At 47.8% G+C, this 27,433-nt stretch overlaps 2 long non-coding RNA genes across 4 annotated transcripts, besides 2 other annotated features; one reads left to right on the forward strand and one right to left on the reverse strand.

Annotated features, from left to right (window-relative positions):
- The first annotated feature begins 2,102 nt into the window (after positions 1 to 2,102).
- Positions 2,103 to 9,454, forward strand: LIRIL2R (lincRNA regulator of IL2RA). Of its 3 annotated transcripts, none has more exons than XR_926349.3 (2): positions 2,103 to 6,079; positions 6,214 to 9,454. It is a non-coding gene; the product is annotated as a lincRNA regulator of IL2RA (long non-coding RNA). The 3 variants fall into 3 exon arrangements; XR_007059907.1 differs by having other exon boundaries at positions 6,309 to 9,454; XR_007059908.1 differs by having other exon boundaries at positions 6,752 to 9,454.
- On the reverse strand, positions 3,174 to 27,192 carry LINC03066 (long intergenic non-protein coding RNA 3066). Its single transcript, NR_126020.1, has 8 exons — positions 26,595 to 27,192; positions 19,873 to 20,217; positions 11,184 to 11,357; positions 9,444 to 9,614; positions 8,064 to 8,269; positions 6,301 to 6,517; positions 4,074 to 4,182; positions 3,174 to 3,403 (listed from the first exon to the last, which is right to left on the reverse strand). It is a non-coding gene; the product is annotated as a long intergenic non-protein coding RNA 3066 (long non-coding RNA).
- Positions 11,017 to 11,076: an enhancer, noted in NCBI's record as "active region_23798". NCBI's record gives its function as "activates an Ori minimal core promoter by ATAC-STARR-seq in GM12878 lymphoblastoid cells {active_cell/tissue: GM12878}" and the evidence as "EXISTENCE:reporter gene assay evidence [ECO:0000049][PMID:35858748]".
- Positions 15,673 to 15,742: an enhancer, noted in NCBI's record as "active region_23799". NCBI's record gives its function as "activates an Ori minimal core promoter by ATAC-STARR-seq in GM12878 lymphoblastoid cells {active_cell/tissue: GM12878}" and the evidence as "EXISTENCE:reporter gene assay evidence [ECO:0000049][PMID:35858748]".
- Positions 27,193 to 27,433: the final 241 nt, after the last annotated feature.

Consider the following 27,433-nt stretch of genomic DNA (forward strand, 5'->3'; position numbering starts at 1 on the left):
GGCTGGTGCTGCAGTGGTGAGCCATGGATAGGAGCGGGGTGCGAGTAGGGGCGGGGCTCAGGTGGAGTAGGGTGACTGCTGGGCCAGGCATGTGTAGGATGGGGTGCTGGCAGGGCAGGGCACTGAAAGGAGCAGAGTGTGGGTAAGATTGGGGTTCTAGTGGGGCAAGCATGGGTAGGATAGGGTGCTGCAGGGCGGATAGCAGCCGGGTGCTGCTGGGACAAGCACAGGTAGGAGAAAGGTCCAGGTAGGAGCTAGGTGCTGTGAGGTCGAAAGCAGGTAGTGTGTCCGGAATTGGTTCTTTTTGGTGGGTTCTTGGTCTCGCAGACTTCAAGAATGAAGCCGCAGACCCTCGCGGTTAGTGTTACTGTTCTTAAAGATGGTGTGTCTGGAGTTTGTTCCGTCAGATGTTCAGATGTGTCCAGAGTCTTTTCCTTCTGGTGGGTTCGTGATCTTGCTGACTTCACAGGAGTAAAGCTGCAGACCTTCGCAGTGAGTGTTAACAGCTCTATCAAGGTGGGGCGTCCAGAGTTGTTTGTTCCTCCTGGTGGGTTCATGGTCTGGCTGACTTCAGAATAGAAGCCGCAGACCTTCGCAGTGAGTGTTACAGTTCTTCAAGGTGGTGCGGACCCAAAAAGTGAGCAGCAGCAAGATTCACTGTGAAGAGTGAAAGAACAAAGCCTCTGCAGCATCGAGGGGTACCCAAGCAGGTTGCCACTGCTGGCTCGCATGGCCAGCTTTTCCCTTATTTGGCCCTGCCCATGTCCTGCTGATTGGTCCATTTTACAGAGAGCTGATTGGTGCGTTTTTACAGAGTGCTGATTGGTGCATTTACAAACCTTTAGCTAGACACAGAGCACTGATTGGTGCATTTTTACAGAGTGCTGATTGGTGCACTTACAAACCTTTAGCTAGACACAGAGTGCTGATTGGTGCGTTTTTACAGTCTGCTGATTGGTGCATTTACAAACATTTGGCTAGAGGGAAAAGTTCTCCAAGTCCCCACCCAACCCAGAAGCCCAGCCGGGCTTCACCTCTCAGTAGGAGCGGGGTGCAGGTAGGATCAGGGTGCTGGAGGGGCATGGGAGGGTAGGACAGAGTGCGGTAGTGAGAGGTGACAGAGTGCTGGCAGCCCTCACTCGCTCTCGGTGCCTCCTCGGCCTCGGCGCCCATTCTGGCTGTGCTTGAGCAGCCCGTCAGCCCAGCGCTGCACCGTGGGAGCCCTTCTCTGGGCTGGCCGAGGCAGGAGCCGGCTCCCTCAGCTTGCGGGGAGGTGTGGAGGGAGAGGCAGGGGCAGGAACTGGGGCTGCGCATGGCACTTGTGATCTAGCTAGAGTTCCGGGTGGGCGTGGGCTTGGCGGGTGGGCGTGGGCTTGGTGGGCCCCACACTCAGAGCTGGCTGGCCGGCCCCACCAGCCCCAGACAGTGAGGGGCTTAGCACCCGGGCCAGCAGCTGTGGAGGGTGCTCTGGCTCCCCGAGCAGTGCCGGCCCACCGGTGCTGCGCTCAATTTCTCACTGGGCCTTAGCTGCCTCCCCACGGGGCAGGGCTCGGGACCTGCAGCCCACCATGCCTGAGCCTCCCCCCAGCCGCCGTGGGTTTCTGAGCAGCCTGAGCCTGCCCAAGGGGTGCCGCCCCCTGCTCCACAGCACACAGTCCTATCGATGCTTAAGGGCTGAGGAGTGCTGGTGCGTGGTGTGGGTGTGCAGTGTGGGACTGGCGGGCAACTCTGCCCACGGCCCCAGCGCAGGATCCACTAGGCAAAGCCAGCTGGGCTCCTGAGTCTGGTGGGGACTTGGAGAACTTTTATGTCTAGCTACAGGATTATAACACCAATCAGCACTCTGTGTCTAGCTAAAGGTTTGTAAACGCACCAATCAGTGCTCTGTGTCTAATCTAGTGGGGACTTGGAGAACTTTTGTGTCTAGCTAAAGGATTGTAAATGCACCAATCAGCACTCTGTGTCTAGCTCAAGATTCCTAAATGCACCAATCAGCACCCTGTCAAAACGGACCAATCAGCTCTCTGTAAAATGGGCCAATCAGCAGGATGTGGGTGGGGTCAGATAAGGGAATAAAAGCGGGCTGCGGAGGCAACCGTGGTAAGCTGTGCTTGCATCATGTTTGGAAACTGTCGTACTGCGCGAAGCTTTGCAGCTTCCCTCCTTAAAGGCAGTGAGATGGCAAACCCACTGGGAGGAATGAGAAACTCCAGGCGCACCACCTTAAGAGCTCGTGACACTCACTACAAAGGTCTGCAGCCACTCCTGAAGCAAGCGAGACCACAAACCCACCAGCAGAAAGAAACTGAACACGTCCAAACATCTGAAGGAACTAGCTCCAGACACACCATCTTTAAAAACTGTCACACTCACTGTGAAGGTCTGCGGCTTTATTCTTTTAGTCAGTGAGACCAATTCCAGACACAAGACCATCTCATCTCAAGAGACCAGGACGTCCGGGCACCCCTAGAATGTAGCTGCTGGCAGAGCCTGAAGTCTATCCAGCTCATGCTCTTCCCTGATATCCTTGACAGATTGTGGGATGGTTCAGCCTCTGCAAGGACATGGCCAATGATGGGGGGCTGGTTTTGGGGGCAGCACTCTAGGCAAGGGAAGAAATAAAGTGTCTGGGAACTGGCGTGGTGAAGGGGCACTTTGTGGAGAAGATGTGTTCACATTTGGATGTGTCGAGGGTGGAATGATATGAGGAAAGTCAAAGGGTGCCCACCCCCAGAGCCTAGGTGTGGGCACAGCACTGCACCACGCCTTAGGGGAGATTGGACTCTGGGCAGAGATCCCAAGAGAAGCAGGAGTTGGAGTCTTGGGGGCCAGTGTGATAGGGAACTAACTTTACTTTAAAGCCAATTTGTCAGTAAGAAAAAACGAGGTGCACCTTGTAGGAGAAAAAGTCACAAGCTTGGTGTGCTTGAAGTCACAAGCCTTGCTGTGCTTGGTGAGAGGGATCCCGAGTGTACTTGAGGCACTCTCCTGTTTAAAAGGGGAACGGTGGTTTTCTTTTCTCAGTGTAGGTTAGTGTAAAAAATCTGCTTTGTAATTGCATAAGGTCTCAGCACAAACAAAATCACAGAAAATGTGAAATGTATTATAACAGTCAACTTGCTTAGAATGTAGTTGAACCTGCATGCAGTATTGAGACACCAGACAACTGTTTTCAGTCTCCACATTTCTTTCATTTCCTTTATGAAAGTTACATTAAGAAAAAAAATAACTCCCTTGAGTATTCTGATATTTTCGGTGAGTGAAACAGTAATCTCAGCAAAGTTCAATCTTGGTATCAGACAGAATTTCAGGTTGTTTCATCTAATTGCCACTTAATACCAAAGACATGATGTTTATTAGCATGTATTTCTAATGAGAAACTATTATAGTCGTCCTCAATTGTCTGAAATATGAAGCGGAAAAAGAAAATTATGAGCCCCAGATACCAGACCAGTTGCTGATCAGATAGAATATCGTGGTTCCAGCATATTATGAAATAAAAATTCAAAGACTGAATACCATGCAAAAGGTCAATATTCGGCAGCATCTGAGAAGTCATACATCTAGATAGACCTAAACTATAAGTGCAGAAGTGCTACAGTAAACTATATGGGCTTTCTACTAAGTACTGGCTAATTTTAAAACATACTGAAATTTATGTACATTAGTCTTTGTTATAAGAATTGAGAATCCGCATTGTATTATAAAGTTGATCTACAACAGTCACTTTATTATAAAATATTTTCGGCCTGGCGCGTTGGCTCACACCTGTAATCCCAGCACTTTGTGAGGCCGAGGCAGGCAGATCACCTGAGGTTGGGAGTTCAAGACCAGCCTGACCAACATGGAGAAAACCCCATCTCTACTAAAAATACAAAATTAGCCGGGCGTGGAGGCAGGTGCCTGTAATCCCAGCTACTCCGGAGGCTGAGGCAAGAGAATCGCTTGAACCTGGGAGGCGGAGGTTGCAGTGAGCCAAGATCTCACCATTGCACTCCAGCCTGGGCAACAAGAGTGAAACTCCATCTCAAAAAAAAAAAAAAAAAAAAATTCACCAGAAGGAAAGTGCTTACCTATTTGAACAACTCTGTACGGGTCTATACAGTATTCCAAGGCTCTTCAATAAGCACATGGTGATGACCCAGGTCAGTCGTGGCAAGGTTGGGGAATTAGAACAAACCTCTGTGGCAAACACAGATTATAGCTTGAAGTGAGCATCACGGATTTCTACAACAAACACTCTGACAAATATTTCCTGTGATAAACATCCACGTTCTCGAGGTGGGACAATTAACCCAAACTTTCCAAATTACATAAAAACTTTTGCTCTATCTAATTAAGCTGATAAATTCATTATTTTAAATGACAACATACAAAAGAAGTATAGATTTTTACTTAAAACGTATTGGATATGTGGGTATTCTCTTGTCTTTCTAAGCAAATGCTAATATCAGTTCAGTGCTTAACAATGTCAGCAGCAACTGGGCCCTCTAAGTCTCCTGCTACTGAAGTTTGAGGGATCAAGCCTCACCGTAATTTTGACAAAGACTAAATTCAAGATGTCTGAGGCTTACAATTTTCTTATTCTACTTAATGAGGTAGAGAAGTTCATTTGGAATTGAGCACTCCATTAGACTGTTTCAGCTAAATTTCAGGTGGCATTTTCTAACAATAAGAGCTGTTGATGCTTTGGAAGGCAACAGGTTTGCTTCACTGGAAGTGATGATGGCCTTCCAGAAAGGGTGAGGCAAGGTTTTCTAAGATCTCATCCAACTAAATGATTCAGAAAGCGCCAGCCTGGGGATTCCAGGTGCTTGTGACTCGGGGATCTTTCTGCCATCCCACCTCACCTGTTAGTCACCTTTTGAAATTGGGTATGATTGAAATGGAGTTTAGGGAATGCTGTAATAATATATCTCTTGCTTGCCTAATTCACAGAAACGTGCACAGGCAAACTGTGATGCTAAGTGGGGGCTTTGATCCTTTGATGCCGGGCCCTCCTCCCACCCGGAGCCATACCTATTTCTCCCTTGCCCGTTCTCCTGCCTCTGCGTTCAGATGTGCTTCAGGCCTGAGACAGGAGGAACCTATCAATGAAGGAGGAAATGTTCCCCAGCTCCTCAAACACGAGGCCTCCTTCTGCAACTCAACTTTCTGCTCCCAGGACAGGATAATCTGAAGACCCCACCGCTTCACCTCATCTGAAGACTCAGTTAAAGAGGAGCGGGCAGGCAGCTGGGGGATTCATTCTCTGGGAGTGGGAGCAGAAGGGAGCCCCTTGTCTTGTTTTTGTTCCTTCCCAGTTGACCCACAGCTGGAGTGCGGGCTGGGCAAGTAGGTGCTGGGCAACTTCTGGGGAGACTCAGGCCTCCTTATTGGCCATCACAAAGCCCCAGAGAAAAAGATGCTTCCAAAAACTGCAAGATAAGAGGAACAGGTAAAGGTCATGGGAGGATTAAGTAGAGCACAGCAGGCTGCTTCACGAACCCTCTGTGGCCTTCCCCAGGTGGGCCAGCATGGCAGCTGCTAACATTGAGTCTAGGCCATCAGGCAAGGTGAATTAGGGACAGTACCAGTGGGGAAAGTACCTCGGTGTAGCCCATGCACTGTCTGCCACCCACCCATGAAGTTCAACCTCTTCTAGTGCTCTTTTCTGTTTTCATGGTCCTGGAGTGACTTGACCTCATTTAGTCATTCTATGATTATCCCATTTACAGGCAAGGAGCATTTTTATTGTTGTTAATGCTCTTAACTCTAGCAAGCTATGAATTTAGGACGTGTCTGTGCCCTTTGGCAAACTTACTGTCTCCTTAGGAATTTTGTGCCCGATTTCTTTTGCTCTTCCAGACTGCTGCCCATGCTCCTCTGCCCTGCCGAGCACTCTGGGAGATGGACCTGGTTGGACACTAGAGCTCCACCCTGCAGCTTCCAGGTGGGCTCAGTAGATGGAGATCCTGGAGGAGACTGTAGAGCAGCTGCTGGCACAGTTGTCCTGGAGCTACCTGGGCCCAGATGCCCCAGCTCTCTCCATGCAGACCATTCTACCTACCTCTCCTCTCATACTGGGCTCTCCGTGTAGGTAAGAGTGGTACAAGCTTCCCTGTCACATGGGTAGGAGTCAACTTCCCTTTCCTTTGTGGTGCTAAACCCCCCGCCACACCTCGAGTAAACAGGGCCCTTTCTAAGCCCAGCTCCTGTCTTGTCTGGGCACAGCATGTGTTTTCTCCTGGGACCCTGAAGCACACATCCATTCTACTCATGTAAAACAGACAGCTGCATAAGAGAAAATAATATATTCACGTGTACAGCTGTTGGCAAGAAGTCTTCAGAGATGGAGAAACCGATGAAGAATCTTGCTGCAAGATCCCAACCTATGCCAAGGGCCACTGCGAGAAGCCAGCATGGACACGAAATTCACACCCAGGGCAGCTCCTGTGTCTTCTGAGCCTTCTCATGAGGGCTGCAAGCACAGTGGTCTGGTACTGCCTGCCTGTAATGTTTTCTTTTAGAATAGACCCTGTGTGTAGATGAAAGAGCATTCGACATCATTACTACGTGGGATGCTGAGAACCAGGTGTTTTCTTCTCTGGGCATAAGCTCCTGAGGCTCCCGAAAGTCTCATCCTCCTGGGCCGAGGATGCTGAAGGGAGCAGTGGGATGGAAGGCGGGCCCAGAAAGCACACGGGCAGGCAGAATCTGCTCTGCCCAGCTCCAGTGTCTTGTCTTTACTGTGCTCACCGTATGTTTTCAGAAAGACAGGCCAAGAACAAAAGTGGGAGCCACCTAAATGTCCAACCATGATGGTCCATGAACACAGTGGAATGTGCAAGATAATTGTGAAAATTGTGCGGAAGTATGGGGAACTGCTTAGGATACACAGTTAAGTGAATAAAGCAGCATGTTAAGTGTTATATATGCCATGGTTACAATTCCAAAAATATGTATGTACATAGGCAAATTCTGGAAGAATAAAACCAGAAGAAAATGTTGTATTAAAGTGATAGCATCATGGATGTATATAGATAGCCTTTGATGTCTTTGTTGGAAGAGGCCATCCTTGCACCCTGTCCCTTGCTGAGCATGCCACAACTGCAAGGCCCTGAGTGTCCCTTAGCTGGCCCATTTCTCAGGTCCAGCTGATAACTCTGAGAGGTGAGGTAACATTGACCCCTCCCCATGATCCTCCAGGCAAACAGCAGGCTGGCTTCTGGCTTGCTGTAAGCACAGCGCCTTCTCCAAGCTCCACGCTTCACGCTGCACACACGGCATTCATCTGAGCCTGCTGTGTCACCTGTGAGGGAACTGGGACTGAGGGGAACTGACACAGAAGTGCGGCTGGACATAACATCCAGGAAACAGTAGCAGGTTGACTGAATAGCTTCTAAGAAGGATAAAATCAAATCCCAGATGACAGTCTTAATAAGGTTGCGATACCAATTTGAAATTACAGTTGACTCTTAAACACCGGTTTGAACTGCGAGGGTCCACTTAGAGATGGATTTTTTTTTCCAAAAAATACAGTCCGTGGGTTTTGTATCCACAACCAAACACAGATAGAAAATATAGTATTCTCAGGATTTAAATCTGCCCGTACGGAAGCCTGGCTTTTCATAACCTTCGGTCCCCAGGACTCACTATGGGACTTGAGTATGTGCAGATTTTCATGTCTTACCCATGGCCCTGGAAGCAATTTCCTACAGATTCCCAGGGATGACTGTATTTGCCTAATGTTTCTTTCCCAGCAGACTCATGTCTGTCTTGTGCACTGCTGTGTTCCTGGCACCATGGGGGAGCGTGGTGCAGAGCAAGTTTCCTCAGATGGCCCTTTGTGGATGGACTACAGGAGCAGAGATGTGCAAGAAGCAAGTTTCAGAAGGAATTCAAACCAAAATGTAGAGTTTGAAGGCAACAGTGACCTTTGCAATCATACCTCCCTGTTATTCAGTAACAAAGCCACCACCATGTATCAAGCACCCACAGGCCACACCTGTCTTCTGGACGATTTTCGGGGCATCATATTTCAATGTTCTGTCCATTTCCAGGCACAAAGTGCTTTCACTCACATTCGGTCCTTGCTGCAACTGCAAGCCACTGAAGACAGGTGTGTCTGATCCCAACGTGGAGCCCACAGTAACAGCAAGCAGCGACTGTTGCTTGTGCAGGAGGCCCTGTGTGCCACATGTTGCTCTTCACTACTGATCAGGGCTGTTTACGTGGGTCCCATCACAGCTGCTCTGTGACTAGGGAACTTGACGTCTCCATTTTTCAACTGAAAACACAGAAGTACAAAGGGGTTCACCACCTTGTCCACGGTTGCCCTGCTTCTAACTGGTCATGTTGGAATAAAAACAAGCAACTGTCATCCGGGATATTAACCACGCAGGCTGTGGTGTTGCAAAGCAGGGGAGCACGGAGCAGGGAGCATACCACCCTGCTGAGATCAGCTCACTCACAAGTGGCAGGGCTAGGGCTGCAGTGCAGCTCACTTACGGGCACTGTGTAAGCCTGAAAGCAAAGTCCACATCCAAAGGTCGTAGTGGCCCCAAAACAGCTTCCTGACCTGCTTCTGTGGTCCCAGACCTCTTGCTGCTGAGGTACCTTAGCTTTCCAATTACTCTTGCCAATTCTGCCTGCCCAGTACTGCTAAAAGGCCACTTCCCTCCGTCCCATGGCCTCAAACACACTTCAGAGAGAATTTCTGGGCACTTTCAGAAGGCTGGTCACTACAGCACAAAAGAAGTCAAAGTTATCGCGTTAGTGCTCCCAAATCTGAGGCACAGTTTGGAGATGGGGGCTCTGAGTCAAGGGGCAGGCTGGGGACTGTTCCGGTGCCTGTGACTATGGGACTGAGTCAGTCACAGCCCCTCTCATTTTCACCAGTGAAGGACATAATGTATACAGTGTTGCATTTCCAAGACAAAGTGCCTTAAATTGGCTTAGGTCAGCAGACTACAGAAGAAACAGGATATTCGAGGCCCCTGCTTGGATAGCTGATGCCTGCTTGTAGGCCTCCCCCTTTCCCCGCTTACCCCCCATTAGTTGCCTTCACCAGAACCGAAGAAGTTTAGTCTAAAATGAAAGCTTACTACTAGCCTGCAAAATAGCTCCCTTTGTCTGTTCTTATCAGCCAGCCCAGCTACTTAGGTCGTAAGTGAAATACTTGAAGAGCCCCTGAGCTGACTAGGATTGCAATGCATTGTGGGCTGTGACAAAATGCAGCAAGACAACCCTAAAAACAAACAAACAAACAAAAACACCTAAAGCCCCTGCCTAACAATCAATAGGTGACGTCCAGGAAGGTTGTGACCCCATAGTACTCAGCCTGTGGGAAACTGGGGGAGGAGCCTGCACACTAGTGGACAAATTGCTTGTTGAAACTGCTGGGTGTGCCTGTCCGTCAGACACCCGATTTTGCAAGACTGACTGTTTATTAAAAATCTCACTTTCGCTGTTCTCTGGGTCTCTGAGTCCATTCTTCGGGTTTGGATGGGTGAGTTTGTTTCTTACGCCTAGTGAGGGACTGGGCCAGGCAGTCTCTTGAGGTCCTCCCTCTGCTTCTCATAAGACATCTGTTGTATCTCTTCCTCTCCTCATCACACACTTCTGTGACTCCCCTTGAAAGACAAGAGCATGTTCAGTCCCCATCAGACATGGACAGTCAGTGCTTCCTTGCCCCGAATTTCTTCCCCTTGCCCTTGGCCACCCTAGACCCCTGGGCTTTCCCAGTAAGTCACACATCAAAACCTTCCTGCCATGTGTTTATAGGATTTTATATTTTGATTATGGAAGTTAAAAGTGTAGTGATCCAGTTAACATTTTATTTCTTCCAGAAAACTTAAGGCTTTAACTCTGTCAAAATATGTGCATTATGAAAGGTTCATATCCCCCAATATCTGCATCCTTAGAAATAAGAGCTTAGCCACTGTTGTATAGATTAACTTTGGCAGTGCCAGCCCTTTATTTGTATATGGAGCACAGGAGCCTGAATTAGCTGGCATTTTATTTCCTTACTAAGTCAATAAACACTTTTTTTTTTTTGAGACGGGGTCTCACTCTGTCGCCCAGGCTGGAGTGCAGTGGTGCGATCTCGGCTCACTGCAAGCTCCGCCTCCTGGGTTCACGCCATTCTCCTGCCTCAGCCTCCCGAGTAGCTGGGACTACAGGCACCTGCCACTGCGCCCGGCTACTTTTTTTTGTATGTTTTTTTTAGTAGAGATGGGGTTTCACCATATTAGCCAGGATGCTCTTGAACTCCTGACCTCATGATCCGCCCGCCTCGGCCTCCCAAAGTGCTGGGATTACAGGCGTGAGCCACCGCGCTGGGCCTAAACACTTATTTTTTAACACTATTGTCCCAGGCACTGTACTAGGTGCCAAGAAAACAAAAATGAACACAGAAAAAATATATACTCAAGTTATTCATGGTCTAGAGAAAAAGACAGACGTACGTGAATTCTTAGGCAATATGTGCCTGATACATCAACACACATAAGCGTGTGATAAACCACAGGGAGACTTGGGAAGGCTTCACGAAGGAGGGTGCCTGAGAGCTGAGGGCTCCATCCGAATTTCAGCCTCCAGGTGGTTCCCCGACTCCTTTCCCCACAGCTCTGGGCTGGAGTTGACAGATGGGTCGGTCAGCTAGCGTGGGCGAGACCATAGTCTCCACCTCACTGTCCAGTGGCCAGGGACCCGCTAGAGGGAGCCAGATGATTGTGGGAGAAGCAGGCCTTGCCACAGCCTCTTTGGTGTGGTGAGAAAATGTTTCTGTTTTAACAAAGTTGTACCCAACTCCTAAGCGTCACACATATAATCCTGCAGATCCGAATCCTACCAATCAGCAGGCACGGGTTCATCTCTACATCAGCTTCCCTTATTTGATGTACGGATGAACCCCACACTTGCTAATAGTACCTGAGTGTGGGCAACACTTCCAGATCTTTCCATAAAATTCAGCACAAGGGCCCTCATGGGTAAGGTGGCTTCCTCATTTGAATACAGATTCTCACATTGACATGGCCCTACCTCTGAGGATGACTTTTGAAGGACACAACAAGCCTCTGAGGCCTGTCACTGAATTCCTGTTATTTCAGAACACAGGGTTTTTGTGTGTGTCTTCTTCCTCCCCTGCCATGTTTCAGGGAAAGGGAATTCAACGTAAAGGGGCCCTTTGCAAAACATACCTTGCAGATGGACCCATCAGAACTGCCTAGGTCTTCCATTTGGGGGCCGGTTCCCAGGCTGACAGATCTGTGACTCTGTAAATGAGTAAGAACCTGAATGTGTCACAGAAAATTCTTCCTGGTCCATAGACTGAATGAAGCAAATGTGAGGTGTGGTTGATCATCATGAAGTTTCTAAGAGTAAAAGAGAGAAAGCAAAAAAGTACATCTTGTTCTCTTCAGCTCAGTGGCTGGATTTAAATTCAGTCTCCACATAAAACTTCAGAAACGGCCCCTGCCCTAGGACAATGGCCAAAATAACAAATAGCTGAAAATCTCCTTTCACTCTGAAGGCCAGTCCTTTCCCCCTGGGCAGCCCCCTCTCCTTCGGAGTGGGGAGGCAAACCTCCCGGTTGGACTGGAACTCCCGGGGCGTTCAACAGCAACGGGGCGGCCTGCTCCCACTTGCTTTGTCCCCAGGGTTTCAACCCTCTCAACAGTTTCTTCTCGTTGCTTCTGTGACTGTTTTTTTTGTTTTTTTTTCTGCCCTGTCCTACCTCTGTGACTGTTTTCTGCCACCTTTGTTAATCCTTCCCCTTGCCAGCTCCAATTTTAAGTGTCCCCTGAGACTGGTAACTCACTGCTTTGTGCCAGGAGGTTCCTTGGCTCCAATCAGGGGTTCCTGACAACTCCCACATTCCAAGCTGGACCCCTCCTCAGCAGGTCCCACCCCACACAAGCTCTCTTCTTCAAACCGGCTGGCTTCCCCAGCCCCTAGCCCTCTGAGGCCATCACCCTTTCATAGGCATCTGTGTGTGTTTGTCAGAGCTGTAAAGAACCACAAACCAGGGGGCCTAAGATCTCGGAAACTTTATACTTTCACGGTTCTGGAGGCAAGAAGTTTGCGAGCAAGGTGCTGGCGGAGTTGGAGCCTCTGAGGGCTTCTAGTGGTTTGCTAGCCATCTTTGTGTTTGCCATCTCTGCCTTCATCTTCACATGTTCTCCGTGTGTGTCCATGTCTCCAAATTTCTCCTTTCCGTAAGGACACCAGTCATATTGGATTAAGGCCCACCCTAACGCTTCATTTTTACTTGATTACTTCTGTAAAGACACTGTCTCCAAATAAGGTCACATTTTCAAGAACTGCTTTGAACTTCAACATAGAAACTTTCTTTTTCGAGGAAAAGAGAATCAGGATTCAACCCAGAACAACACCCAAGCAAGAAGCCTGAGACAGAGCTTTGTGTCTTCCTGCTCCCTAATGCCAGCCTTAGCCAAGCCTCCCTGTATCTCCCACGCCCACTCCCCAGCCTGCACCTTCACCTCCAGGGGGCCTCTGTCTACTGACCTGTCTTTCCCCAGCCAATCCTCTGCAAAGTGCTGCAGTCCCCAAACCATAAAGAACCAGTTTTGTTACATTGCTATGGTTGCTCAAGGACAGACATTGGCTCCCTAGCACTGTGGAAGGCAAGTCAGAAGCCTCTGCCTCCCCTGAACCCCTCCCGTCCTACCTGGGAGGGAACCACACTCAGGAGCTAGACAGTTCTCAGGAGCCTCATGGCAACTGCTCACATCTGAGTCCCAGCTGGAGTTCAACCTAAGTCTCCCTTCTTCAGTGACACCCTCCTGATGCTTAACTGTGCTTTCTTAGAGCTTTACCAGCGCTGCAACAGAGGCCTGATAGCTCTGTGCTTAGTGATTTTGCTGTCTCGTGCCTCGGGGCTGTGACTGGGCTTCCCTGTGTCCTGGTCCTCGCCCAGCACACGACTGAGATGGACAGGAGGTTAATACATGAGCGTTGAATCAGCGGAAGATCTGGGGACCAACTCAATGATTACAGAGTGAATGATGGTGCCAAGGCCAGGGCTCTGAACCCGCAGGGAACTTGCTCACTGTTTGTTTGTGTGGCTGCACCCTGCCTCCCCCTTCCTTGGGGGTCTGAGATGCCACAATCACCTTCTCTGGTTCACTAGAACAGAAAAGGGGCCCAGAAGCCCCCATGACATCACACACCCCCCTCATGCCCTGAGGCCCAAAGTTCTTTTCAGAGAAGTGTTGTGTTGTTGAGCTCCACCTCCACAGGAGTGATTGAGCTCTTCAGGGAGGGCTGGGGGCAGCCATCAGGTGCCTGGGTGTGTTTGGTCATGATCCCTGGATAGGGACCCACCTGTGCCTCCCCACCCAACAAGGGAATGATTCATTGTCTCAAAGTGCCGCGGGAGGGCAAGGACTTAGCCCCAGCCAGAGTGCAGTGTGGTGTGAAAACTGGCTCAGGAGCACCATAACCTATGAGCTTCCTGATTTCCTTTAGCAATGGAAGGTCATTGGCCAAAGGGTGACCTCAAGGTCAGAGGTTGTTGTCTGTACAAGTACCGTCTGCAGCAGCCTCAGACAGAGGCCATTTCTGCTTGGACACCTGCAGCCCTTGGTGGCCCAGAGATGCTGCCTTGAAGTGAAAATGCAAAGCGATTTGAAGTCCCCAGAAGACAGAGGGGTGCTGGCCTCACTTGGCTCATAATGAAGCCCCGGATTGCGTGCTGGGGCTGGAGAAGCCACAGGAGCTGTTGCCGCTGGGGCCTGGGCAGAGGGCAGCAGGAAGGTACAGGGCTGTCCCTGCATGAGGAACTCACCGAGACCTGTACTTGTGTGACGGATGGTTCATACAAGTATTGAAGGTCCACATCACCAGCATCGGCCAGCTCAAAGACCAGCATGGGTGGAGGACCAGCCTCCAGCCAGTCAGCTCCAGGAGACACGCCTGGCCAGGACCAGCTACAGGATTTGCAGGCCCCATTGCAAGATGAAAATGAGGGATCCATGGTTCAAAAATGACTAAGAATGTCAATCCAGTGACAGCAGAGCAAGCGTGGGCCCTTCTGAGTGCAGGGACAGCCTGGGTGTCACCCCACGAAGCCAGCCCCAGACCCCACATGTGGAGGAACTCACTGCTCAACCTAAACCGTCTGCTGAGGGAGGCCCAGTCACACCCGGGCTTTCCCGCAGCCTCTTCCAGTGGGATTCCCACAACACCCTTCCTCCCGGAAGCGCCCTGCCTTCCTCTGGAAAGGGGCCTGGGATGTTCCCTTAGAATAACCTATCGAGTGAGCATTTGGCAAATGGGCTCTGTATTTGTGTTATATGGAACAATAAAAATGTTCTTGGGAAGAAACTTGAACTCCAGAGCTCACCTCCTGCTTGAAACAAGTGACGTCTCCTGCAGCTAAGTAAGTGAGAGTCATGTGGGGTTGGGAGCCAGCGCTTTGAGGCCAGGACAGGGGCTGGGAGAAAAGTGGCCCAGGCCGGGTGCCATGGCTCACGCCTGTAATCCCAGCACTCTGGGAGGCCAAGGCAGGCGGATAACGAGGTCAGGAGATCAAGACCATCCTGGCCAACATGGTGAAACCCCGTCTCTACTAAAAATACAAAAATTAGCTGGGCATGGTGGCACATGCCTGTAATCCCAGCTACTTGGGAGGCTGAGGCAGAAGAATAGCTTGAAGCAGGGAGTCGGAGGTTGCAGTGATCCAAGATCGTGCCACTGCACTCCAGCCTGCGTGACAGCAAGACTCTGTCAGGGAAAATAAAAAAAAAAAAGTGGCCCAATGAGCACAGGTCCGCAGCTGAACACAAGGAAGTAGGATTCAGAGAAAGACAGGGGAAGTGAGTTTGCTAGGAGGAAGAAAAGACAGACCTCAGGACCCAAGGACTCAAGGTGAGCATCAATCTCACTGTTCTCGGTAGGGTGGGATGGTGGTGGTCACATAGAATGGGGGGGAACTCGACAATCACTGGGAGACAGTGCTGACCAAATGAACCAATGAACTGTGTAGCCAAGGAACACTACTGTGTGTGTGTATGTGTGTGTCACGTGTGTGTCATGTGTATGTGTGTGTTGTGTGTATGTGTCGTGTGTATGTGTGTCACGTGTGTGTCGTGTGTGTATGTGTGTCATGTGTGTATGTGTGTGTCGTGTGTGTGTGTACAGAATCTGATGCTTTTATAATGAAGGATGGCTGAAGACTAGGAGAGATGGTGGCAGGATGGCATCAGGGTTGTTTGCTCTGGTTTTAGAGCCAGGCTGCTTAACTCAAGTCTGAGCATAGTCATTTTCTAGCTGGGTGACCTTGGCAAAATTCTGGGCCTTGGTTTCTTCATCTGTAATATGGGAATAGTAGTAATAGCCATATTTTAGGGTTGTGTGTGAGGATTAAATGAATTAATACATGTGCTTTGGTGCCTGGAATGTACTAAATACTCCAGAGATATCACCAATGATGATTTGTTAAGCCGTAGTTACTGCAGGACCTGAATCCTGAGACACATGACTGTCTGAGAGCTCTGGGGGTGGAAGGATTACACAACTGTGCTGGTAATTGCTACCTTTTGAGTGTTAAGTGTGCACCTTGGGGCATTCCCACTGACAAGGGACTCCCACGCACAGAGTCCATTTCCCTAGAACGTTATAATCAGTCTTCCAGATCCTTGGCCACTCAGAGGAGCACCTCGCACGTTTCAAAAGGTAACTTCCTGAATACACATCTGCTGGGTTTTCCTTCCTCCAGCTCTTCTCTGTTTCATTTTTCTCATCTTACTTTAAGCCTCTTGAGCAGATTAACAAGGCTGAGAAAATTCCCCCGGTCCTTTTTAGCTGCAACATGATTCAGCATACTTCTGATCATCCTCTTAGGCTGATATGTGGGTTTTCTTGACATTTTTAGGGACCTAGTTTGATGTGTTTGTCCTGTGAGACTCACTGTGACACCGGAAATAGACCCTGTGATTAACTACAGTGTTGTGCTTTTTTTTTTTTTCTAAAGCCACAGTCATATTACCGGGTATGTGTCATTTATCAGATATTTTTGGGGTACTATGTTGCACCTTATTATCTAAAAGCCAGGATTCAGAGGATGTATAACTCTCATAAGAACAGTGAGTTGGATACTGAGAGAAGATGTTCAAGATCAGAAAGCAACTCAGAGATAAAATTGAGATTTGATTTCCTAAATTCTAACGTACTTAATTTCACAAAAGAACAAAATACCAGCAAATACACAACTGCCCAGCGACTTTGTTGTAGTGAAATTAAAACCCACAGATGGTCGGGCGCGATGGCTCATGCCTGTAATCCCAGCACTTTGGGAGGCCGAGGCAGGTGGATCACATGAGGTCAGGAGTTTAAGACCAGCCTAATCAATATGGCGAAACCCCATCTCTACTAAAAATATAAAAATTAGCCAGGCGTGGTGACGCACACATGTAATCCCAGCTACTCGGGAGGCTGAGGCAGGAGAATTGCTTGAACCTGGGAGGCAGAGGTTGCAGTGAACTGAGATCGTGCCACTGCACTCCCGCCTGGGTGACAGAGCGAGACTCTGTCTCAAAAAAAAAAAAAAACACCCACAGATTACCAGAACCACACTCTTGCTCTGTGATGTGTGGGGCAGATGCATAGCTGAGCCTTTCTCGGATGGCTGGCGTGGGAGGAGAAGCGATCCACTGGCCCTGGATAATGGTTGATGGTGCTTTGTTTTGTGTATTGCTTCCTTCTATAAGGGCGGTCAGGGTCTCAATGGGAAAGAGGAACAAGGAACGTTAGAGAGATAATCGTTCCTAGAAACACGAAGAGGGGCCGAGAATTAGAGGACAAGAAGGAATGAATGTCAATGTTGTTAGGGACAATTAGGAAATGTCATACTATCTGCAAATACCGGATGTCTGAAATATTTTAGCAAAACTGAAATAAATAGATTAGAAGAATAAAGTTGGAGGACGCATGCTGCCTGATTTCAAGGATGACTATAAAGCTACAGTAAAAAAGACCATGTGGTATTCACCTAAACATAGACAAATAGATCAGTGGGTTAGAAAAGAGTCCAGAAACAGCCCATACCAATATGGTGTATTGACTTTTAGCGCAGGTGCATAAACAATTTGATGGAGAAAGGGGAGTCTGTTCAGCAGATGGTGCTGGGCAATTGTAGATCCACATGCAAAAGGAGATGAACTCAGCAGGTACCTCATACCTGATACCAAAGATAATTCAAGCTGGATTACAGACCTAAAGATACAATATAAACTACAGAGCTGGAGAAGAAAACATCGCAGCTGTTAGGAATGGGTATTTGTCTTTGTAGTGTTCCATTCATATCAAATCATGTCATGCTGTATAAGTTGTGTCTGTAACCAGCTTTTTGCCACTTAGCATTGCATTTTTCCAGGTCGTTAATGTTCCTCCTGCCCCTTCACTGATGCTGACTGTGCCAGGCCATCCTCTGAGCTCTGATCTAGAGGAGCGCTGTAAGGCAGAGGCTGCATAAAGAACCTGGCCTCCATGAGTAGGAATCCAGAAACACACTTGGCAGTCCAGCCCATCTCTCCCATGGGGTGGCCTTGGGATAAAGAGCATGGGCCCTTCTGCAGTGACAAAACTCAGAACTGTTGGAAAGTCATGGACCTCACAGAATCCTGAAAACAAAAAGAGAGCTGTGCTTCATGAGTCACCTCTGACTTCAAGAGGAGCTGTCTTTTCCCTTGGCCCCATTGCACGTGTTTTCCAGAACCACAACACCCTGCGATGTCTGTATCTGTGCCTGTCACTGTCTTATTTAAGAAAACCCCAAACCACATGAATTGTGATAAACAAAAGTATTTTGAATTCCACCCTTTAGGCTTATTATGACATAAAAAATCATGCCCTGGATGTAAGTGGGCTGACACTGCTGAATTCATGATAGGAAATGGTCATCTGACTTCCTTCTGGAGGAGAGGCCTGAGAGGGAGGGAGTGCTTTGACCGGAGTCCAGGGAGCACTGAGATATATTTAGCCTCTCATAAGCATGGGCTGCCAAGGTTAAGTCAGACCAGTTCTACTCCTCTGTGTGTCCTAGGACATCACTTGATCTATATTTCCTGTCTCAGTTTATCCTGAATGTAAGATTTACTCCAAGAGGGCAGGAGCTGGGCCACATCTGTTTCATTTTCATTTTCTTCTGTATTCCAAATATCAAGCACAATGCCTGGCATCCCACAGGCATGAAATAAAAATGTATTGAATGTCAGTGAATGAATGAATAATGTATGGATAGATGGATGGATAAAATGGAAGGGTGAATAGGTAGATTGGTGGGTGGATGAATGGATTGGTGGATGGTTGGATGGATGGATGGATGGATGGATGGATGGATGGATGGATATGATATATGGATGAATAAGATCGGTGGATGGATGGGAGAATGGATGGATGAATGCATGGATGGATGGATGGATGCATGGGAGGATAGATGGATGAATACATGGATGAATGCATGGATGGATGGATGCATGGGAGGATAGATGGATGAATACATGGATTGATGGACAAATGGATGGATGGATAGATGGAAGGGTGGATGGGTGAATGGGTAGATGGACGGATGATTGGATGGGTGGATGGATGTGAGGATGGATAAGATGAGATGAGATGGTATGACTTTTTGTTGGTTCTGTAGTTCAATTAGTTCAATTAGGGTGCTTTTTTTTTTTTGAGACGGAGTCCCGCTCTGTTGCCCAGGTTAGAGTGCAGTGGCACGATCTCAACTCACTGCAAACTCCATCTCCCAGGTTCCAGTGATTCTCCTGTCTCAGCCTCTTGAGTAGCTGGGACTACAGGTGCCTACCACCACACCTGGCTAATTTTTGTATTTTTAACAGAGACGGGGTTTCACCATGTTGGCCAGACTGGTCTCGAGCTCCTGACCAAAGGTGATCTGCCTGCCTCAGCTTCCCAAAGTGCTGGGATTACAAGCATGAACGACTGTGCCTGGCCTTGGTGTTTTATTGAAGCGATGAACTCAGGTTTTTTTCTCACACATTCCACACATCAGGCTTCTGTTTAGACGATGTTTGATCTTAGTCATGAGAAGAACCAGGTAATGGGCCCTCCTCTTATTTATCTTTATTCTTTGTAAAACCCCCAAAGTTGCTCATTAACAACAACAACAACAAAAAGAAAACCCAAAAACATACTCAAAAAACCCTGCAGGGGCCTCCATCTTGGTGGGATTCATCTACCAAGCAATCTGCATTTGTCCATCAGGGTCACACATAAATGTCCTTGGGCCAGGGTCTGGCATGGGCCTCCCACATTTGAGCCCCGACAGGATGTGATTCCATCCCCCCTGCAAGGCTCCAGCACCCATTTACCCCAGGGGCCTAGTGAGCAGCCTTCTTCCTCACAAACGAGCCTGTGGGCCTGTCCCCTTGCATAGCTGCGGGTTTGCTCTTTTTCTCACATAGAGAAAAATATATAAAGAATGAAAGCCAAAGAAAGTAAGCTGTAGGGTCATTTCATGATAAATGAGATAGGGCTCCTTTTGAGCTTTTTAGAAAGTTGAAGGGCAGATACATTGGCTCATGCTTGTAATCCCAGCACTTTGAGAGGCCAAGGCGGGTGGATTACCTGAGGTCAGGAATTTAAGACCAGCCTGGCCAACATGGTGAAACCCTGTGTCTACTAAAAATATAACACTTAGCCAGGCATGGTGGCAGGTGCCTGTAATCTCAGCTACTCAGGAGGCTGAGGCAGGAGAATCACTTGAACCGGGGAGGTGGAGGTTGTAGTGAGCCGAGATTGCACTATTGCACTCCAGCCTGGGCAACAAGAACAAAACTGTGTCTCAAAAACAAAAAAGAAAAAAGAAAGAAAGTTGAGACCATGCAGAACTCTCGTTACCATCTGGGCGTTTCCAGCGTCGAAGGATCCGGCACTATCAGAACTCTCGTTACCATCTGGGCGTTTCCAGCGTTGAAGGATCCCGCATTATCAGCCATGAACACTTAAGACATGCCTGGTTTTAGTTCAACTCAATAAAAGTTTCTTGAGGGCCGAATGTGGAGACGCCATGAATTCTTGCTTAAAGGGAGTTTGCCATTTAGACAAAGAGAAATAAGGGTGGGACTGGAGGAGAACACAGGCAGAATACAGTCAGGAGGCGAGGTGAGCCCTAGTCCAGGAGGAGGGGTCCTCGGCCTCTGCTTCCAGGTGGAGTACATCCAGCAGCCCCTGAAGCTCATCTCTCTAGAAAGGGGGAAGTTCAAAACATGGAAAAGGTAATGGTATCACACAGAACTCACAAACATGTGTCAGAAATTGTTAATATAATGAATTGGAATGGCCTACAAAAAAAAAATTTCAGGGAGGATGTTAAGTGGCAATTTCAAGTATTTGAAACTCAGTTACAAATTCAGGAGTAAAAGAGCTTTGAATAGAAAAATAGATGCAACAGGGCCCGGTGTGGTGGCTCATGCCTGTAATCCCAGCACTTTGGGAGGCTGAGGTGGGTGGATCACGAGGTCAAGAGATTGAGGCCATCCTAGCCAACATGGTGAAACTCCGTCTCTACTAAAAATACAAAAATTAGCTGGGTGTGGTGGCGCGTGCCTGTAGTCCCAGCTACTCAGGAGGCTGAGGCAGAATTGCTTGAACCCAGGAGGTGGATGTTGCAGTGAACCGAGATCCCACCACTGCCCTCCAACCTGGTAACAGAGCAAGACTGTCTCAAAAAGAAAAAAGGAAAAGAAAAAAGAAAAATAGATGGAACAAAGTGTGGACACTGCTCCTCAGCCAGTCCTGCCTTCACTCAGAATCTATTTACTGTGTGCACGGTTCTAGCAAGCTCAAGATTCCTGCTGACTAGCCAAACGCCAGTGGAAGATAATTAAAAAGAAGGCTGCTAGAGATGCAAATGCTGAATTTAGGGGGAAAAAGGAGGCAGCTGAAAGTGAGGACCTACATAAAAACAATTTTTAAAGATTAGGCATAAGAACTAAAAAAGTGGCCAGGCGTGGTGGCTCATGCCTGTAATCCCAGCACTTTGGGAGGCCGAGGTGGGTGGATCATCTGAGGTCAGGAGTTCAAGACCAGCCTGGCCAACATGGTAAGACCCTGTCTCTACTAAAAATACAAAAATTAGCTGGGCATGGTGGTGCGTGCCTGTAATCCCAGCTACTCAGGAGGCTGAGACAGGAGAATAACTTGAACCCAGGAGGTGGAGGATGCAGCAGTGAGCCAAGATCGTGCCACTGCACTTCAGCCTGGGCGACAGAGCAAGACTGTCTCAAAAAAAACCTCAAAAGACTGAACAGTCTAAGGCGATGAACTATGAACTATTCACACAGCTGATCCTATACCTTCCTGGCCCCTATGTCATTAAAATACAGTACACTTCAAACATTACCCAATTTCCTAATATGAGGCATTCTATATGTAACTTATAAGCTAGGTACTTGTAATTCTCCATAATTTTCTCTTAGATATAATAATAGAAGTAATGGTTTTGTTTTCAGATCAGCACATAAGAGCCATTGACCTCTATAATACAACTGCACTATTTATAAGTTTCAGAAAACAATTCTGGAACCACGGTGTCCTTTTAAACATATGAAAGCCATATGGCAATTCTAATGAGATAGGCCCACAGCTGACGGTGTTCCCTGAGCTGCTGTCTGGTCCAGAGCCCATGCACACAGGTGGAGACTGACTCTCCCTTAGGACCACTGCCTTTGCCTGGTTTCCTATGCAGATGATGGCAGTCTGGACACAGGGAGAAACACAGGCTGGGAATGCTTCGTGGGAAAGGATGGAGGGCTAGCACTTGCCTCGGTGAGACCAGAAGAGATATGATTTGTACCTAGACAGGGTCAAGGGCATTCTTGTTAAGTTAGGGCATCTATTCTTGACTAGGCCACTGAGGGCAAGGTCTGACCCCTGTATCCCGACACCTACTGCCTGGGATTGGTAGATGATACATGATTTTGATCAAATGAAACAAGGAATGGACAATGATATCCTTTCCTAAAGAGAGGCAGCCACTGACACAGCGCCAAGCCTAGGGGTAGGGATGGAGCATCACTACCGACTGCTCCTGGGATTGCTGAGATGTGGGGCTGGAGGTCACAGAGCCAGCCACGGAACAGCAACTGTGAGCCATCAGAAGCCACAGCACCCCATGCAGCAGGAAATTCTGAGGAAGCAACAGCTGATGAGGAAGAGGAAGGAGAAGAGAGAAAAGAGGTAACTTATTCCCATGAGGAGAAGCATCGAGGACACTCGGGGCCCACTGGTGGTGGCAGGGTGCATAGAGGATGAACTGGCAGCCAGAGGTGAGCACACTTTGGTCAGTGCCCAGTTAAAATGAATGTTTCCACTGAAAAATATCTCAAACCTTTGAAGAAAGGATTAAACTGTGCTTAGTATCTTCTGAGACACATAAAAGTAGTTAAAGCACTTTAGAAAGAATACCATCAAAATAAATTAAATTTCTTTTTTTTTTTTTTTGAGACAGAGTCTCCCTCTGTCACCCAGGCTGGAGTGCACTGGCACTATCACTAAACCTGTCTCCTGTGTTCAAGCGATTCTTTTGCCTCCATCTCCTGAGTAGCTGGGATTACAGGCATGCACCATCATGCCTGGCTAATTTTAGTAGAGATGTCGTTTTGCCATGTTGGCCAGGCTGGTCTCAAACTCCTGGCCTCAAGTGATCTGCCCATCTTGGCCTCCCAAAGTGCTGGGATTACAGATATGAACCACTACTCCCAGCCATGAGTCAAATTTTTAAAAGAATGCATTGTTTCTCAAGTCATGTCTCTTAATTAAAAAACGCACTTATGTGCTGGGTAAATGAGATATTATGTCTTCCAGGTTGAGAAATTATTATTATTTTTTTATTTTTATTTTTTTGAGACAGAGTCTCGCTCTGTTGCCAGGCAGATGGAGTGCAGTGGTGTGTTCTGGGCTCACTGCAACCTCTGTCTCCTGGATTCAAGTGATTCTCCTACCTCAGCCTCCTGAGTAGCTGAGACTACAGGTGCCCACCACCACACCCAGCTAATTTTTGTATTTTTAGTAGAGGTGGGGTTTCACCATGTTGACCAGGATGGTTTCTATCTCTTGACCTCATATCCACCCACCTTGGCCTCCCAAAGTGCTGGGATTACAGGTGTGAGCCACCATGCCCAGCTGACTGAAGGTTATTTTAACAGCTGATTAGGAAAAAAAAAGTGAGACTTCACATTAGGAAAAGTCCTCCCATCTACTGTCAGAACATGCCTGTGAAGGGTTTGAAATTTCTCTGAATTTTAGGTTCATAAACAATCAAAACAATCTTCAGCTCTGCCCAAAACAGGAAAACAGCTGGAACAATAAAAAGTAAAGGACCCTGTGATTCACAGAACCAAAGTGAATACAGCTGAAAGCAGACTGTGCCTTTAAGGTTGAGTTTATATTGAACACCTTGTTGAACAAGCAGGCAAAAATTTAGTCATCCAAACAGATCATGCTATTCTTAAGCCTTTGTTGGACTCTCATCTGCAGGCTGTGGTTCTAGGAATTTTGGTCAGAGTGGGCCGTGCTTGTTATTTTTCAACAGGTCAAGAAACAGTAGAAAAACAGCAGACTGTGAAAAAATACTTACAACAAAGGGTTAAGATCCTTAACATAAAAGAGCTCCTAAAAGACACCATGAAAAACAAAACAATTTGGCTACCAAAAAAAAAAAAAAAAATACAAGGCAAAAGATATCGTTATCCACACAATGGGTGGGCTTGGTCACTTGGTGGAGGACAACCACCCGCAGAGGATTTAGCAGGGAAATTTTACTACTTGCAAGGAGACCAGCGATAGCTCCCAAATCAGCACCTGCCCAAGCCAAGGGCCAGGTCAGGTTTTATAAGCAAAGGGTAATGACATGTGATCTGATTGGATATTGCAATGAGGTGATGCCTGGTGGCACAACCTGACTGGATCTTGCCATGGGGTGAGGCCAAAGCTCCATCCGATTGGATCCTGGATCCTGAATCCAGGCATGCAGTGTCCTCTTCTTAATTCAGTCCCTGGCTCTCAGTCTGAGCACTTAGGTTTGCCCTGTGGCTGCACACTTTGTTTACCTGGGTGTGCTCAGGCTATGTGAACTGAGGGTCCATGGCAACTGAACAACAACTCACAACTTTGTTACATAAAAGTCGAACCAGATTGGCCTGGTGTAGCTACCATAAGAGTAGGCAATTCAAAGAAGAATCATAAATGGCCAATAAGGATTTTAAAAAATTCTCAACCCTCCTGACGATCAGAAATATGCAAATCTGATAATAAGATACTCCCACTGATCAGATCAGCCAAAGTTAAAAGTATTCGCATTTGTGCACAACCTAGGGCACTGTGTGATCTGGGACCATTTGCATCAGAATCATCTAGTGGGCTTGTTTAAAGGCAGATTCCAATTGCCAAAACCTTGAAGGACCCAGATGTCCTTCAACTGGGTAACTGACAAACTGTGGTCCATCCATACCATGGAACACTACTCAGCACTAAAAAGGAACAAACCATTGATACAGACAATAACTCAGATGAATCTCATAGGCATTATTCTAAGTGAATGAAGCCAGGCTTGAATGTTACACACTGTATAATTCCAGACTTGAAAATAAAAAACCAATAGTGACAGAGAAAAGCCCTGTGTTTACCAAGGGAGTGAGGTGGGGTCAGGTGTGAGTAGAAATCGGTAGCTAAGGGAGCTTGTTGGGCTGGTGGAACTTTTCTGCATGCATTGTGGTGGTTACACAAATCCACTCCCTGTGCTAGAATTCATAAAACCCGCACACTCCACCACTGACCTCCACAAAGCCAAATTTACTGTGTAAAAAGTAAACAAACAAACACAACCCATATGAGTCCACCTCAGACCTAAACATCACAATCTCTAGGGAGGTGGGGCTGAGCTGATGGCTTTTCCTAACAAGCTCTCAGTGGTTCTCATGGACACTACGTTTTGAGGACCACTGGCTGGCATCACAATGGGGGTGAATGTGACTAGGAGGTTCTATCAAAACATAGAATGTGCCTACCCTCCACCCAGTGCTTGAACATCCCTTCCCCCTCATCACTCCGGGGAAGGATCCTGCTCAACACCCAACTACTCATTCAAACCTGGAACCCGAAACTTTAATGAAGGTTGCTCTACTGAGATTTTTCTCCCCACCGAACATGTCTGTGACCCACAAAGAAGCCCATGAAAGAAAGTGCCCAGAGAAACCAGAGCTGTGGAAGGCTGGCTCGACGGTGCCCCTCACTGCCCCTGAGAAAACAGACCCATTTCCTCTCTGCCCACCTCTTTCCCTGACATGTCCCCAGCAGCAGTCCTGTATTCCCAGTTCCTCTCAAGATGTTCTGAATAGTCTCTGGGTATCCTCTCATTGCCTTCAACTCAAGATATCTAAAACCAAAACTCATTGTCTTCCCACTCAAAACGTCCTCCCCTTTCTGCTGCCAACCCCAGTCAGTATTGTCTGCAGGCTTCCAGGCTTGGATCCTTGACTCACGGCCACCCAAGCTTCCTTCCCCCGTGTGCGATTAGTCAGTAAGTCTTAGTAGTGATGAGGGCTTCCTGCACCGTGACTGTCCGGCATGCTTTTTCCTCTCCCATTTCCTCAGCCACCAGCAATTCCAGGCCCCTCTTTACTTCGTATGTATTCTAGCGAGATCAACTGGCAAGACAAAGCTCAGACGTCACCTCCAGAAGGTTTTCATGGCTTGTGATAATCTGGCTTCACCTGTATTCTACTTCATGAGACAACTGACTATCTCGTGGCCTCTTCCCTGTGGCCTCCATCTCTCTTTGCAGCTCCAGTCCCTGGCACATGCTTGGCACACAGCTCACTGCAGCTGCTCAATGAGTTTTGTGGACTGGATGTTTGCTTGTGGGAAGTGGAAGCAGGGACCAGATGGATGGGCAGAAGGATTGTCCTATTCAAATATGCACTGGTGGTCCTGTCTTGTGTTTGGGCACCAGTTGAATCCAAGAGCTCTCAACCTGTGGAGTGTCGGATGAAATCTATGGAATCCCTCCTCAGAAAAGCAAATGAACCCACACAATGATGGCGCAGTTTCATTGTCATCAGCCTCCTGAGGCGTATCCACAATCACCAGGTCAGAAAACCCTGCTCCTTCCTTGCATTCAATTGGGCACATCACTATCAAATTAATTTTTCTGAAACACGACAAAATCTCATCAGAAATATACCACACTTTGTTGTCCCAAATGCTTGCCACCAGAAGTGTTTTGTATTTCAGATTTTTTGGATTTTGGAATCTTTGCATTATACTTACCAGTTTGGCATCCCTAATCCAAAACTCTGAAGTCAGATTAGCGATATTAAACCTGTACTAAGGAGAGCAATTCTGAATTTTTTGGCTTGGCAGCCACGGTTATTTTTGTGCCCCTCTAAATATACCTACTACCTACTATCCCCAGTGTGTAATCAGGCCATTGATGCCAGAGAGAGGTGTGAGTAGAATGATCACCAGTAGTGCCTGCCCTGAGAACGTGGCCACTGGTGCCCAGAGCAGAGTTGTCTGGGGACTGGCTGGAGGCCCATAGAGAGGCCCACACAAGAGCTCACCTGTGTTGACCAGCTCTCTTGCGTGCTCCAATTCCTATGCTGTTGCCTTGACTCAGCATGTGGTTCTCAGTGGGGTGATTCTTCCCTGCAGGTGACAAGTACTAATGTCTGCACACATTTACAACTAGGGAGGGAGTGCCACTGGCATTGAGTGGGTGGAGGCCAGGGATGCTGCTGAGCTTCCTGCATTGTACAGGACAGCCCCCACCACAAAGAACTTTCTGGCCCCAAGTGTGCATAGAAAAGATCCTGGTCTGCAGAGCCCTGTCCACCCATGGTCAATCCTGAAACTCTCCTTTGAGTCCCCCAGACTTTCCTGGGCCCTCCGGTCTTGCAGGATCTTCTCTTTCTTTCACACCTGTCCTTCCTGGGCAACATTTCTCCCCGACAAACCAGCGCCTGACCCTTGAGCAGGTCTCACCCAATCCTGCGCTTGTTTTAACCATATCCTTAGTTAGGTTCTAAGGTCATTGCGGGCAGGGAGGTTCATTTTCCTATAGGCCTGAGCACAAGGTCAGCGTGTGATAAATATGTGTTGACCCTCATAGATCCCTGAAGCACAGAATGAAAAATAAAATTGCTTAAATTTACTGATTTCAGGATATGGGAACAAAGGAATTGTGTTTAAATGTAAAAAAGAAGTTCTAGAATTTCCACAGAATTTACATTCTTCTTGTTGTAAGGAATATGCCTGGTAATGGAACTCAAATATCAGCTTGGATCGCCCTGGCCTTTGAAATTTGAGGTAAAATTAGGCTTAAGCCGTATCCAGCGCACAACAGAAACCTCAGTGTCTCCCACCCAGGGACTGTCTCGGAGGCTGTGTGTTCAGATGTCAC

This window comes from Homo sapiens, chromosome 6 (assembly GCF_000001405.40).
Source record: "Homo sapiens chromosome 6, GRCh38.p14 Primary Assembly".
NCBI lineage: Eukaryota > Metazoa > Chordata > Mammalia > Primates > Hominidae > Homo > Homo sapiens.